General features: G+C 49.0%; 1 protein-coding gene across 11 annotated transcripts in view, besides 2 other annotated features; it reads right to left on the reverse strand.

The window, feature by feature from the left end:
• The window catches only part of COL23A1 (collagen type XXIII alpha 1 chain), a 352,776-nt gene that overhangs the window by 302,373 nt on the left and 34,056 nt on the right, over window positions 1–16,347 (reverse strand). The gene's annotated exons all lie outside the window — the stretch shown is intronic.
• Window positions 4,078–4,372: a silencer, noted in NCBI's record as "tiled region #11707; HepG2 Repressive DNase matched - State 22:ReprW, and K562 Repressive non-DNase unmatched - State 21:Repr". NCBI's record gives its function as "represses a minimal TATA promoter and a strong SV40 promoter by Sharpr-MPRA in HepG2 and K562 cells {active_cell/tissue: HepG2 | K562}" and the evidence as "EXISTENCE:reporter gene assay evidence [ECO:0000049][PMID:27701403]".
• Window positions 14,043–14,601: an enhancer, noted in NCBI's record as "H3K27ac hESC enhancer chr5:177981034-177981592 (GRCh37/hg19 assembly coordinates)". NCBI's record gives its function as "activates a minimal SCP1, AML or CMV promoter by ChIP-STARR-seq in primed H9 embryonic stem cells {active_cell/tissue: H9 hESC(primed)}" and the evidence as "EXISTENCE:reporter gene assay evidence [ECO:0000049][PMID:30033119]".

The following is a 16,347-nucleotide window of genomic DNA, read 5'->3' on the forward strand; positions in this document are numbered from 1 at the left end:
CAGAAAAAAGGGGGAAAAGTCATATGATCATCTCATAAATTTAGAAACACTATTTGACAAACTGTAACACCTAATCATCACTTTTTACAAAAGCCCTTTAATATTTCCTCTGAGTTCAGTTATGAAACCAGGATGCCTGCTATTTCCAATTCTATTCAGCACTACTGAAGGTCTTAGACAATCAATTAATCAAGTGAAAGAAACAAAAGGCATAAGAATTGGAAAGGAACAAACACAACTCTAATTATTTATAGATGGTATGGTAGAAGATACATGGAAAATCTAAAAATATTAGAATTAACAAGTACATGTGGCAAGGTAACTAGATACAAGACCAACATGAAAAGTCATCACCAACAGAAAGCAAATTTTAAAAATATTATTATTTAATATTCACACAACATTTAAATTCTTACCTATCTACACAAGTTCACACACAAAAAATTAAATTCTAAGAATAAATCTAATAAAAGATGTGTAAGACCTCTACTCTCAAAACTATAAAACATTATCAAACAAAATTAAAGAAGACTCAAATACATGGAGAGAGATACCATGTTCATGAATCGGAGGCCTGAAGAGTGTAAAGATGTCACTCTGTCTAAATTAATACATATTCAATGAATCTCATTCAAAATCTCAGCAGGGTGGCTGGGCGTGGTGGCTCATGCCTGCAGTCCCAGCACTTTGGGAGGCTGACGTGGGAGGATGGCTTGAGCCTAGGAGTTTAAGACCAGCCTGGGCAACACAGTGAGACTCCATCTCTACAAAAAAATCTCTGCAAAAGGAAGCCAGGTGTGTTGGTGAGTGCCTGTGGTCCCAGCTACTCAGGGGGCTGAGGTGGGAGGATCGCCTGAGCTTGGGAGGTCCAGGCTCCAGCGGGCCATGTTCACGTCTCTGAACTCCAGCCTAGGTGGACAGAACAAGACCCTGTCTCAAAAAATGAAACAAAGAAATAATTTTTAAAAATCTCAGCAGGGCTGTTTATCTTTTTTATTTTTAAGGGAATTGTCAAACATTTTAAACTTTCTATGGAAGTGCAAATGACTGAGAACAGTCAAGGCAATCCTGAAAATCTAACCTCTATTCTATTATCAATACTAACTATCAAGTTTTGGGAATTAAAATAACAGTATCGACACATGGATAGACAAATAGAACAGAACAGCAAAAAGATCCAAAAACAGACCTACAAAGCCACCAGAATAACTAAAAGAAAAGAGACAGAAAATCCAAGTGTTGGGGAGGATGCAGAGCAACTGGAATTGTCAAACACACTGGGTGGGACTATCACCCTCTTTCAAAAATGATTTGGGGCCGGGCACAGTGGCTCATGCCTGTAATCCCAGCACTTTGGGAGGCCAAGGCGGGTGGATCACTTGAGGCCAGGAGTTCAAGACCAGCCTGGGCGACATGGTGAAACCCCGTCTCTACCAGAAATACAAAAATTAGCCGGGTGTGGTGGTCCTCGCTGCTTGGGAGGCTGAGGCAGGAGAATCGCTGGAACCCAGGAGGTGGAGGTTGCAGTGATCTGAGACCTTGCCACTGCACTCCAGCCTGGGTGACAGAGTGAGACTCTGTCTCAGAAGATTTGGAACTATTTACTAAACATAACATATGTATACCTTACGCCCAGCAATTCTGCTGTAAGGTTTGTACACAACAGAAATGCATACGTATGTTCACTGAAAGACATATACTACATTGTTCGCAGCAGCTCTCTTCACGACAAAAACTGGTTACTACCCAAATGCCCAACAACAATGCACAAATGAATAACCCTCAACTGCATGCAGCAACATAGATGAATCTCACAAACAATGCTGAATTGCAGACACAAGAATCCATACCACGTGCTTCTATATGAAGTTCAAATGCAGGCAGAACCAGTCTCTTAGGTGAGAAATCGGGATTATGTGCCCTGGGGACACTAGGGGAGTCTGTGGGGGTCTGGCCAGGTGCTGTTTCTTGGCCTGGACACAGGTGTGAGCTGCAAACTTACGATATGTGCTCTTGCTTGTAGCAGGTTACATCTTTTTATTGTTGTTTTGAGATGGAGTTTCACTCTTGTCGCCCAGGCTGGAGTGCAGTGGCACAATCTTGGCTCACTGCAACCTCCGCCTCCCGGGTTCAAGCAGTTCTCGAGCCTCAGTCTCCCGAGTAGCTGGGACTACAGGCACCTGCCACCACAACCAACTAATTACAGGCACGCGCCACCACAACCAGCTAATTTTTGTATTTTTATTAGAGACGGGGTTTTGCCACGTTGGCCAGGCTGGTCTCGCCCGCCTCAGCCTCCCAAAGTGCTGGGATTACAAAAGTGAGCCACCGTGCCCGGCCCTGTAGCTGGTTACATTTTAATAAAAAGTTTGTAAAAATTCGGCAGACATCAGAGGTACTGATAAGTTTATTAAAGTGACAAAAGCTATAATGGGTGGCAGAGTCACAGAATATTAAGTGTGTGAGGACCCTCTGCCTTTCTGCCCCTGAAGGAAGGGCCTGCGCTGGTCACTGCAGCCATCCCTCTGGCTGACCGGGGGAAAGAACAGAAAGACCAGAGTGAGAGAGTGCTGGAAACAAACCAGAAGGCTCTTACATCGGAAAGGGTGAAAACTACTGGTGTGGAAAGAAATGTGGAAGAGGTCCAGGAAGGCAGGGAAGAAAAAATACCAGAGCTCTAGACAGAAAAATGGGAAGGTGGAGAGGAAGGGGGAGGGGAGGGCTGGGAGCTCTGGGGAGAGTTCCCTCTCTGACTCCTTTGATGGCGTTTTGGTGTAAATCTGAACAGTCTCTGAGTAAGAACGGCCGGGCCTCTGGGGTTCATTTAGGTTGGGCTGCCAGAGAATGGTGCTCCTATACTGCGAAGTCAAAACAATTTTTAAAAGTGTGTTTATACCATGCATTATTTTATTTCTGTAAAAATTAAAATGTGTATCATATGTTAAAGCACAGCAAAAGCTCTGACAGAACACAGACTACACTCATACAATACTGACATCCTAGGGCATGGGATTAGATGGGGTGGTGAGATGCGAGTACAGGGAGACTTTCTTTTAACTGTGGAGCTGTGTGTGTTCGAGGGTTGGAGAGTGAGATCCTTTTGAGAGCATAATTGGCTTGTTTTTTTTTTTTTTGAGCCGGAGTTTCGCGCTTGTCGCCCAGGCTGGAGTGCAATGGCGCGATCTCGGCTCACTGCAACCTCCGCCTCCCAGGTTCAACCGATTCTCCTGCCTCAGCCTCCCGGGTAGCTGGAACTACAGGCATGCACCACCACACCTTGCTAATTTTGTATTTTTAGTAGAGACAAGGTTTCACCACGTTGGCCAGGCTGGTCGTCAACTCCCAACCTCAGGTGATTCTCCCACCTTGGCCTCCCAAAGTGCTGGGATTACAGGCGTGAGCCACCGCGCCTGACCTATAGTTGGTTTTTATAACAGTCCTTTTTTAAAAAAATAAAAGGATGACAGCCTGCTCAAAAGACTGGGGCCATAGGGGTTCTTCAGGAAGAAGAAAAAGGCGTGTTCAGTTATGAAATAAGCCACTCCTAATAGTCCTAAACAATGCCTGGAGTGAGCCCCGGGGGATTGTGACCCTTCCACAGGCGGCTGCAGGGTCTGAGTCTCCACCTTTGGTGTTGTGGGTGGCGGAGGCAGATACCAGTACACCTGGGCCTGCATCTCTCAGCTCCTCCTCCATCACCTCCACCTTCTTTCACCAAAACGGCCTGTCTTAGCCTGTTCATGCTGCTATAACAAAATACTATGAATTGCATGGCTTACAGATTTAGTCTGTGGGGGCTGCTCTAAGAAAACCTACCAGTGGCTTGCAAAAAAGACTGGGTGGCCTACAAACAAGGACAATGTATTGCTCACAGTTCTGGAGGCTGTAAGGCGCCTGCAGATTCAGCGTCTGGTGAGGCCGTTTCCTGGTTCATGGATGATGCCTTCTCCCTATAACCTCACAGGGTCGTAGGGGTGAAAAAGCTCCCTGGGGTCCCTTTTCTAAGGGCACTAATCCCATCACAAGGGCTCCACTCTCATACCCTAATCACCTCCTAACACCATTACCTTGGAGATTAGGATTTCAACATATGACTTTGGGACACAAGATTCAGTCCACAGCATAATCTCCGGGGCATGTCCCTCCTTACACTCTCCCTCCTCCTGCAAGCACTCTTCCCACCTGAGTTTATCACCCCACACAGTCCCCTCCCATGCAACCCTTCCTTCCCCTTCCCACCCCACCACCTCCCACTGAAGTAAAGGGACTAGTGCCCAGGGAACAGAGCTCGCCGCTTACAGAGCCCCCAGCCCAGCCCCTGCTGGAGCTCCTGGATCCCAAGGCGGGGAAGGCAAGTCGGCGGATGCGCACTTCAGGGAGGACGCAGGCGCAGGGCCGGGGAGCTGGGAGGCACCACTTTGCCCTCCTGAAAATTAAGCCCAAGACCTGCCATGGCGGTGGGGAGCAGTCTCCCTCAGATGGGGTCCCCTGTTCTCTCCACCTGCCCCAGAAAACAGCAAGACCGGTGGCCACCCCCGCTGTGAGTACTCTGAGGCCCAGAGGTACAGCTAGGAAGCATGTCCCTCCTGGGTACAGCTGACATGTGAGCAAGCACTTTGGCCAGCACAGCCGGCCTCTATCCCCACTGTGAGACGGGCGGTGCCACAAATGGGAGGTGACGATCAGGGGCGGTCACCTTCCAGTCCTGTAAGTGGCAAAGCTCAGAGGCACTGTGGGCTCAGCCTCCAGGTCACCTGCTGCCCCCGTGCCACTGGGGTAGTACGTTCGGGCCAGACGTGGTGGCTCATAGCTGTAACCCCAGCACTTTGGGAGGCCAAAGCGGGTGGATTGGTGGAGCCCAGGAGTTTGAGACCAGGGAGGCCAGGCTGAGCAACACAGCAAACCCCGTCTCTAGAACAACAACAACAAAAAAAGAAAAATTAACAAAATTTAGCCAGGTGTGGTGGCACGTGCCTGTAGTCCCAGCTACTTGGGAGGCTGAGGTAAGAGGATCATTGAGCCCGGGAATTCAAGGCTGCAGTGAGCCGTGATCATTGCACTCCAGCCTGGGCAACCGAGTGAGATCCTGACTCTAAGGAAACAATAACAATAAATAAAAATAAATAAAGTAGTACATTCCCCACAGTATGAGGGCCATAGAGGGGGTGGGGGGTGTTCTAGTTCCTGATGGGGGAGGCGGGTGCCCCTCATGGGTGGTCTGGGCATCCTCTGTTCCCTGGGCTATGCCCTCCTCTTGAGCCCCCACGCCCCTCACAGTCTCAGGCTACGGCACTTTGAGCCTCTCCCTGTGCTGGCCCAACAGGGGGCTCAGGTTCCGCACGAGGCTACTTCTAAAGACATGACCGGACAACAGGCCACTTCAAGCCCATTAGTGTCATGAAACTCATGACCTCACAGGGAAGGCAGCTCTCCCAGCATTCAGTCCTATTTCTAAAGGCAGAACTGAAAAGAATGAAAAGAACAGTGGGTGCCAGGGGCGGGGAGGAACAAGAGCCTTTGGGAAACTGCAAGGGGACACGGAAGAAAAGGACTTTAACACTCGGCCTGCCAATAACCTACAGGGCAGCAAAAGGAACCTCGAGTTCAAGGGCTCTCCTAAAAGCCAGGAGTTGCTTTCTCTCCATGATTGAGCAGAAGGTCTGCTGAGGGATTCTGGCCCCAAGTGAACCGAGGGTCTAAGCAGGGATGATGTGCTTTTCCACAGGGCAGCCACAGAAGGAACTTGCACCCTGGCACAAGCTGCAGGCACAGCTCCCTCCTATCACCCCCACATCCCACTGCCTGAGGTCCACAGGTCGATTCCCACAGGGATACATGAACAGACATATTTGATGCCTACTGTGTGCCAAGCATTTCCACATAAACTTGCCTCAGTTTATCCTCAAAACAAACCCATAGGGTACATCGTATTACCCCATTTTATGCACAAGGAGTTGGAGAGTTTTAAGAATTAGGTAACTGGCTCAAGTTCCCAGAGCTGGGCCCACCTGCATCCAAACCCTGACACCCCTCCTCCACGAGGCACCCTAGATTCCAAGGAGCCGGGAGGCTGCCCGGGAGGTGCTCACCCTATGTCTCAGCCCTGCCCTGGAAGCCTCAGGCTGAGGGGTGGCCACAGGGTCCCCACCTGGCCAGTAAGACTCTATCTCCCCTCCACCTCAAACAGAGCCATGCACACATGAAATATGGGGTGGCGGGGGGCAGATATGTGTAAGAGGCCTCCTGTTCCCGAGGTGGGGGTATCACCCCTCCATTCCTAGATCCCGTTCCTGCCTAAATTCCGGAACCACCCTGCACCCCATCCTTCCCAAGCCTCAATCCTCATGCATTTCTTCCACTGTTCGCCACTTTTGTCTAGATAGGCAGAGGAGCTGGTTTCTGTTGCCAGCAACCACAGGATGCTAACTTGTTCACCAGCCATCTCAGCTCTTCTCCCAGGACCCTCCCTGGATCCCCTCCCTCCTCTCTGCTCCCAGGATGAGGGTGCAGACCCTGCAAAGCTGGCCGTCTGCCCCCCAGAGCTGCCTCGTCCTGACACTGGGGGCCGTCCCAGGGCCTGGCTGCGGTGACGCGCCACTAACACTTACTGGACGATGAGGTAAAAGGACTGAGGGTTCACGAGGGCAGAGTGGGACTGGGATGAGGGAACCAAATGCAAGGATGAAGGGAAAACAGAAAACTGTCCAGGTTTCTGCCACAGCCAGTCCTATTTGTACCATGTAGCAAGGGCAGCTATTTCTGTCCGTGACACCCGCTTCCATCAGCCCCACAAGGACAGAAGGCAGCCTGAGGCAACTCCGTGCCAAAGGTGTGGGCTTGGCAGGCTCACAGCAGAGATTGTGGGCACCATCTCTGCAAGGCCAGGGGCACCCGAGCTGTGGGGCAGCACAAGGGGCCTGTGTGAGGCCCCTGGAGGAACACGGAGGAGGCACAGGGGCTCCAGGGCAGAGAAGCCGGAGGGAAGCCGCTCGCATGCAGAGTGGCCTTCCAAGCTTGGGGGGCATCCTTCTGGGAGCGCCTGGGTCCACAGAGCTCCCAAACTCTGCTCAATTCAGGCAATTTGGGAAGTAAAACAGGAAATGTCAGCTGCAAAAGGTAGAGAAGGCTTTTCAGGGAAGGTATTTCCAAACTATTTCCCCGTAGGGAATACATTTCCGTGACACTGAGTGGCAAGTACCCCGACAGTATCTGATTCACGCCAGCACCGAGCTAAATGCAAATGACTTTCAATCATCAGCCCCTGGGGCACACTCGGAACTCAGCAGAGCCGAGCCCTGGCCCAAGTCACCTCTATGACCGGCAGTGAGAAAAAAGGCGGGTGGCGAGAACATGGGAAAGAACATGGGTAAGAATATTGGCTCTCCTGGGCCAGATTTTGGACTTGATAGTCCCCATAATCACGTGAGCCAATTCCTTCAAATAAATCTCTTTATGCATGCACGTGTGGGCACACACACCCACACACCCACACACACACCCACACATCCCCATACACACCCCCACACCCACACACTCACACCCACAAACACACCCACACACCCCCATACACACCCCCACACACACCTACACCCACACCCCCACAACCACCCACACACACACCCCCCACACACACCCACCCACACCCCCCCACACACACACACCCCCCATACACACCCCCCACACACCCACCCCCCACACACCCACACACACACCCATACACACCCCCCACACCCACACACCCACCCCACACACCCCCACACCCACACCTATACCCACATACCCACCCCCCACACACCCCCCACACACACTGACACACACCCCCACACCCACCCACCTACACACCCCCACACCCACCCACCTACACACACCCACACCCACACCCCCATACACACCCACACCCCACACCCACCCATACACACATCCCACACGCACACTTACACCCACACCCACCCCCCACACACACCCACACACCTACACCCACATACCCACACCCACCCCCCACACACCCCCATACCCACCCACACACACCCACCCACAAACACACCCACCCCCACACCCACACACACATACCCCCCCTCACCCCCACACACACACCCTATTGGTTCTGTTTCTCTGGGGAACCTTGGCAAACTCTGTAAAGAACAAAGAGGCCTGCTGGACTCTGGGCTAAGGAAGGCAGCCAGCATAGCAGCATCACTCCCGGCACCGTGTGTACAGATGTAGTCAGAATCACTGTGACAAATGCCCACTCCGGCCGGGCCCTGCACTGCTGCCTCCACCTTTTTTGGGCCATTTAATCCAAGGGCTGATTGCATATCTCCTCTCATATGTCCCACAGTCATGCCAAAATTAACAGATCTCAACAAACTCTTAATCGTCCCCATCCTGGTCCTGCTCTCATCCTGGCAAGTGGCACCAGTGAGTTCCCAACTCAAAAATCTGGGCATCATCCAAAAACCGGGAGTCACCCGATCTTCCCTCTCCCTTGCTCCCCCTCACTCAGTCCACCTCCACGTCCTGCCAATGTCCTGTGGGGATCCCTATCCACATCCTTTGCCTATTCTTTTTTTTTTTTTTTTTTGAGACAGAGTCTCATTCTGTCACCAAGCTGGAGTGCAGTGGCGCAATCTCGGCTCCCTGCAACCTCTGTTTCCCATCTTTGCCCATTCTTTACTAGAGCCTCTGGCTTGTCCTTATTCTTGTATAAGAGCACTTTATATCTCATGCATATTAACTATGTATTTGTTGTATGTGTTGAAATTGTTTTTTCATTTTGTCACTTATTTTCAAACTTAAGGTGGCATTTGCTTTCTATACAGAATTTTTAAAAATGTCCATCAAGGCTTTTTAATAGCAAAAACAACAAAAACTTAAATAAAAATAAATGTCTATCAGCAGCAGACGAGATGAATAGTAGTATGTTCATACACTGCGATGGCATGCTGCAGTGCTCCATTGTAGAAACGACAGTCACAGGAAATGACTAGACCTGCAAGCATCCATACAAATACTTCTTTTTTTTTGAGATGGAGTCTCGCTCTGTTGCCCAGGCTGGAGTGCAATGGCACGATCTCGGCTCACTGCAACCTCCGCTTCCCAGGTTCAAGCAATTCTCCTGCCTCAGCCCCGAGGAGCTGGGATAACAGGCGCATGCCACCACACCCGGCTAATTTTTGTATTTTTAGTAGAGACGGGGTTTCACCATGTTGGTCAGGCTGGTCTCGAACTCCTGACCTCAGGTTATCCACCCGCCTCGGCCTCCCAAAGTGCTGGGATTACAGGCATGAGCCACCATGCCCGGACCCATACAAATACTTCTTGAAAAAAAAAATGAAGGGATAAAACAGATGAAAAGACACACAAATAACAAGTAGTAGGACAATAAAATATATTGCCATGGTACACATATTTAATAAAATATAATATACAGAAAACATGCAGAAAAAGTATAGCTACCAACTCAAGACATTTGTTGCCTGGCAGAGAATAGGGGAATGGGAGAGGAACTGGTACCTTGGCTCTGTCTAAAACATTTCATTTCTTGGCCAGGCACGATGGCTCATGCCTGTAATCCCATCACTTTGGGAGGCTGAGGTGGGCAGATCACCTGAGGTCAGGAGTTTGAGACCAGCCTGACAAATATGGTGAAACCCTGTCTCTACTAAATACAAAAAATTAGCCAGGCGTGGTGGTGTGCTCCTGTAATCCCAGCTACGTGAGAAGCTGAGGCAGGAGAATCGCTTGAATCCGGGAGGCAGAGGTTGCAGTGAGCCGAGATTGCACCATTGCACTCCAGCCTGGACAACAAGAGCAGAATCCTGTCTCAAAAAACAAAACAAAAACAAAAACAAAAACAATTTCTTTAACAACAAAATAACAAACATGAGAAAATGATGTTATTCATTAAATCTAGATGAAACGGACATCAGTATTATATTCTTCTCTGTACTTTTTTATATATTTGAAACATTCTGTAATGAAAATTAAAATTATTTTTTAATATTAAGTAAAGAAAGGATCTGGTTGGGCAAAAGAATGATCAGATACCTCCATGAGACTCCATTCTTGCTTCTAGCAAATTACCATAATGTGCAAATATATCATTTCTGGAATCTGAAGTGCTCTACTCCCAGGAAACTAGGAAACCTAGCAAGTTGTTTTATCTGTGAGAGCTGATCTGAGTTCACATAACTTCACTTAGTTTTTGCCCAAATATGTAAACTAAAGAAGATTTTTCTGTCTATACAGAAAATTTAACCTTTTAAGCTTAAAATGTTCAAGGAAATGTTTTCTTCTATGGCAAGGTTTTTCAACCTGGGCACTACTAACATTTGGGACCGGATAGTTCTTTGTGGTGGTGGCTGTCCTGGGCTTTGTAGGACACTCAACAGCACCCCTGCCTCTACCTAGTCCATATGCCAGTAGCACCCACAAAGTATGATCAACTACAAATGTCTCCAAATACTGCCATGTGACCTCCTGGGGGCAAAACAGTCCCAGTTGAGAAGCACGGCTTTATGGTTTCTGACTTCAGTGCCAGGCTTATAAAATCTGTTTCTACTGCGTAATTTTAAAAAGTGATGTATCGTATTTTTGTCTAGCCAGCCATGGTTGTATTTTTTACATTTAGATCTTCAATCCATGTGGAATATACCCCGGCATAAGAAGTCAGGTAAGAAGCCAGATAGTATTACTGCACTGAACCTGTCCCCCAGGAAAGGCCGCTACAGCATGTGGGTGAGCTCCTGGCATAGGGGGGCGTGTGATAATGACACCCCACAGAGTAAAAGGCTGCACCTGTCACTCAATAGTTGGCACGGAGTTGGCCAAGCTGGGGTCAAGACAGCTCTGGTCTTGTCTTCCCAGAGTTTCAGGGATTCTCCACTACAATTAAACCTGATGGTGCTCTGTAAGTACTGGGTCAGTGGCAAATGTTCTAGAAATCTGTTTTCTAACAGATAGTCTACCTTTCACAGAATCTTCATCATCTCCCCAAACCAACAGCAAACCGCTTGATTCTGGAACCATCTGGAAAATTCTGAGGGTCTTCCATTTTTGGAGAGAAACACCAGAGCAGGTGGTTAACTTTGTGTGTCACTGCTCTTGGTTTGAACTTTTGTGTGCTTTCTAGTAATTTTAAAATATATATTAATATATTATATGTTATATATTATATTAATATATTTTATATTTATATATTTAAATATATATAAATTATTTTTCTTTTACATTCCTGTTCAATTTCTATAGAATTTAATGAGTATAATGGGCTCCATCTAGTGGTCACAAGAACATCTCCAGATTCCAATGGTCAGCACAGAAACTTCAAGATCTTTATTTATAGGACATGACACATTTTATAATTGATAGACTCAGGTGGTTAAACTATGCTTTAAGAGAAGACTTCTAATTATTTTTTTCCTTTCATCAGTGGGTCTTACAAATTGGTTCTTAAGGTCCACTGCCCAAAACCATGCTTACCATCTTCTCTTCCAAATTGATCCCTCTTTGGGGATTTCCTGTTTCTGCGCAGCTTCCCCTCCCCAAAGGCATGCTGCTTCAGGCTTCTCTGTCTTCTCCTGTGCCCACCCACCCAGTTTGTGAGTTCTGTCCACCACATGACCCAGTGCCTCTCACAGCTGTTCCCGGCTATCAATTCTCATGGCCATTCGACAGGGCGTTATCAACCCTCCTCCCCGTGCCTGGCACCGTGCTGGATTTAGGGGATGCTGCAGTGAACCAGGCAAGCTGTCTCCTGCCCTGAGCACCCCCTCAGGGGCCCCTCTGTTGGAACCAAGTATGATCTAGTCTGTCCTTCATGCTGTTTCCAGAGCCCTCGTCTTAAAGCTAAATTCCACTCAGACACCATCAACTGTGTCCCATGGAATAAAGCCTCAATCTCTCCAGACCCTGGACTCACCCTCCCCTCCCACTGCCACCTTCCAAGCAAACAAGAGTTCCCACCGGTGCTCGGAGCTCCCCTCTGCCTCCACTCAGGATGTCAGTCTCTCAGAATGCATCCCCCATCCCAGGTGGCTAACCTGACAACCAGTCTTCAAAACCTTGCCCAATTATCATCTTCCCCAGGAAGGACCCTCCTCCAACCCAGATCCTCCTGACCCGAAGTGATCTCTCCTTGTAATTTCTGTAGGACTGGTGTTTCCTCAGGGCTCATCCTATTCTCCGCATCTGTTATGGGTCTTGTACCTCTCCTGCCTTCCTCTAACAACTGGGTCTGCAATTGCCTCTAAGAATCTTAGTCAATAGCTCCCCCAGGACCAGCACAAAATAGGGTAGGAGAGACGAATGAATGAATGAATGAATGAACAAATACCTATGCATAGTGAAGCGAGGGAATGGCAACCAGCCTCCAGAGTATTCTCGTGCCCCCCAAAAAATCAGACACACAAATGACCTCCTTTCACTTGGCAGAGTCTGACATACCAAGGTAGCTGCCTTATAGGCCACTCAATTTTGCCATAAACTCAAGTCGACTGAGATTTAATGCTTATAAATATATACGTGTATCATTTTAAAAAATTCTATAAAAAATAATCCCAAAAAGGGTAACAATTTCTTGCATTGAAATCCTATGAGAGGCTGGGCAAGGTGGCTCACCCCTGTAATCCCAGCACTTTGGGAGGGGATCTTTTGAAAGCAGGAGTTCGAGACCTGCCTGGGCAAAAAAGTGAGCTCCTAACTCACCAAAAAAAATTAAAAAAAAAAAAAAAAAAATTTTTTTCAGACAGAGTCTCACTCTGTCGCCAGGCTGGGGTGCAGTGGTGCGATCTTGGCTCACTGCAACCTCTACCTCCCGGGTTCAAGTGATTCTCCTGCCTCAGTCTCCTGAGTAGCTGGGACTACAGGCGCGTGCCACCACACCTGGCTAATTTTTGTATTTTTAGTAGAGGATTTCACCATGTTGGCCAGGATGGTCTTGATCTTCTGACCTTGTGATCCCCCCGCCTTGGCCTCCCAAAGTGCTGGGATTACAGGCGTGAGCCACTGCGCCTGGCCAGGAAAATTTTTTTTAATTAGCCATGGTGGCACACGCCTGTGGTCCCAGCTATTATCCCGGCTGAGGCAGGAGGATCACTTGAGCTCAGGAGTTCAAGGTTGCAGTGAACCGTGACTGCACCACTGCACTTCTGCCTGGCCGACAGAGTGAGATCCTATCTTAAAAAAAAAAAAAAAAAAAGTCCCAAGACAGCGTGTGCCCTTCGCTAGGCTCTTTTCCAGCCAACAAAGGCAGTAAGGCAGTAAACAGGCTGAATATGAGCAACTTTTACCACTTCTGTTCCGCTCTGTGACATTTTCCATAAACTATCAACGAAATGTATCAGGTTCTGTATAACTTCCACATTGTGCTTTCTACGGTCCTAAGTGGAGTTTCACTCCTCTACGCAAACTGCCAAATGTTTTGATGGAGCAGAGGATTTCTGACTTGCATTAAACTCTGGATTATTATTCATTTCTGGAAAATCACCCGACATTGCAAGTACAGTGCCCATCCTTGGAAACCAAGCACAATGTCTCTGCAATATTCTGCAAGGATCCAAAAAGACACAAAAAGAAAACGAAAAGGATGATACCATTCTGGAATGTTCCTGACAATGTCCAGGCAGTTTGAGCCTGGTTAGTAACAAGTGCAAACAGCGTGACGGGCAGAAGCCCAGCTCTGCTCGAGGCCTTCTGGGCACGTGGGTGGCTGATGAGGGTTCACGGCCACACACTTTCCTTTTCTGTTTCTCTCACTCCAGCATCGCCAGCATCTTCATACCCACGTCCTAGAAGAACGTGCCAGTAAAGTCTGCCAAGCCCTCGCTCTTCCCCTCCTGAAGATTCCCAGTGGCCTCCTACTCTGTGTCTCTTCTCCCTTCCTCTCTGGCAGCTCCCGACTGATGGCGACGGACCTAACAACAGACAAGCTCTGAGGACGCAGTGCCAGGCCTCGTTCTAAGCTGTCTGCACATGTGAACCCATTTGATCCTCAAAACCATCCCATGACACAGCTACTCTCAGAAACCCCACTTCACTTCACAGGTGGAAAACCGAGGCACAAGGAGGATAAGTGTGAGGTCACGGAGCCGGTGAGCAACAGAGAATCGGGCCACGCAGCCTAGATGGGAAGTCAACACACTTTCCCCTGGGCCACGCTGCCTCTTGGTGTGTTTTATTTTTTCCTTTCTTCTTTTTTTTTTTCTTTGAGATGGAGTCTCGCTCTGTCACCCAGGCTGGGGTGCAATGGCTCAATCTTGGCTCACTGCAACCTCTGCCTCCTGAGTTCAAGCAATCCTCCTGCCTCAGCCTCCTAAGTAACTGGGATTACAGGCGTGTGCCACTATGCCCAGCTAATTTTTGCATTTTTAGTAGAGACGGGGTTTCGCCATGTTGGCCAGGCTGCTCTCGAACTCCTGACCTGAGGTGATCTGCCCACTTCGGCCTCCCAAAGTGCTGGAATTACAGATGTGTGCCACCACGCCCAGCCCTCCTGGTGTGCTTTAAGTGGAGCCAACCCTTTGGTTACACCTTTGCAAACCACCTGGCGGTGACTGGGCCAGCCGTCACCGGAAGAGTCTGGTCACCTACTGCTTGTGCCCAGCTATATTCGTTCTCTCTTCTGGGAAAAGATCCTAATTTTTCATGAAGGAACCACCCTCCCCGACACCACATGCTTCTGGTATTGCCAACCCTCCCCCACTTTGTCTCCCCTGGTTCCAAGAATGGTCACATGATCCACCAATGACCTGGCCCATCAACGTGTCCCATGCTCCAAGTCAGTGCAATTTTTCAAGGAGAGGCACCTGCCCCAAGCCAGGCAAACTGGGATCCATTCTGGGACGTAAAAAAAAAAATCATGGTAAAATACATATAACATAAACCTGAGCATTTTAAAGCACGAAGTTCCAAGATTAAACACAACAACCATCCCCTCTATCCACTTCCAGGACTTTTCATCTTTCCAAACAGAAACGAGGTGCCCCTTAAACAATAACTCCCTGGGTTAGTGTCTGGGTGTGGACATAAAAAGGTACCACAGACTGTGCGGCTTAAAACAGCAGAAATGTGATAAGGTGCCGTCAGGCTGATTTCCTTCTGAGCTCATGGCTCAGCAAAAGTGTCTTCTCCACGTGTCTTCACATGGCCTGCCCTCTGCATGGGTCTACGTGTCCAAATCTCCTTTTATTACAGGGACAGCGGTCATGAGGGCCCACCCTAAGGCCTCATGTCACCTACTCTCCAAGGGAACATTGTTATCTCCAAACACAGTCCCATTCTGAAGCCCTGAGGGTTAGGACTTCAAGATACGAATATGGGAGGACACAGTTCAACCCATAACACTCCCCATGCCCCAATTCTGAGACTTTCGGGAAAGAACAGTGCTGTATCTGCTGGGGTTGCTGAGCACATGTGATATACACCTAGAGCTATACTGGCGGCCACCTTCCCAAGCATAGGTCACTCCAGCAGAGGCTGTCTGAAGACAAGCGGAGAAGAGCTGAGAGAGGAGAGCGAGCCCTGAGCCCAGATGGGCCTGAAGCCAGCTGCACCTCAGACCTTTCCATTTCTAGTTGTCTGCACTAAAAATTTCCTTTTTCGCTTTATTAGTGCAGGGTGATCAGAACACTAATTAATGTTCTGATGCTTGTAACCCAAAGAGTGAGTGAATGCAAGGGCCACAGTGACCCTTGGCTCCAGGACACGTGGAGTGGGACCACAGGGCAGTTATTTACAAGGCGGAGTCAAGACTCAAGTCCAGGTTCCCAGGCTCCAAGGTGCCGGCCCTCACCAGTTCCCTGGGATGCCCCCGAGTCACTACTGTTCACAGACGGTGGAGGCCGGACCATAGGGCAGCTCCCAGGGGGAGGCTTCAGGACCCACCTGGCCAGAGCCTCCCTGCAGGAACCTGTGTTTGCTGCGGTAAAGCCCAGCCTCTCCCCACAGACTGAGGGCTCCCGTCCTTCAGTCAATACCCTCAGGCCTGCAGCGTGCCTGGGAGAACAAAGCACGAGGAAGTCAGACAACAGGCTACACAGCAGGCCTTCTTCCCTCCATCACAGCACACACGCAGCCCTGTCTGAATAACACAGGGTCGGAAATGACCCAAACGTCCTTGGCGGGGACTGGCCAAGTGCATTACAGGACATTCCAACAGCATGGCCAGATTCTTTCCTGGACCAAAACAAGGCAGCAGCTATCTCGGATACACAGACGGGCACAGACCACCTCAAAGAGAAAGGGCAAACCCATGAACAAGGCAGCCCATGAAAAACAATGCGGGATAACTGTTGCGTTATTAAAAAAAAAGAAGGAGGAGGAGGAGTTACTACTTTAAAATTAGTTGAA

This window comes from Homo sapiens, chromosome 5 (assembly GCF_000001405.40).
Source record: "Homo sapiens chromosome 5, GRCh38.p14 Primary Assembly".
Classification (NCBI taxonomy): domain Eukaryota; kingdom Metazoa; phylum Chordata; class Mammalia; order Primates; family Hominidae; genus Homo; species Homo sapiens.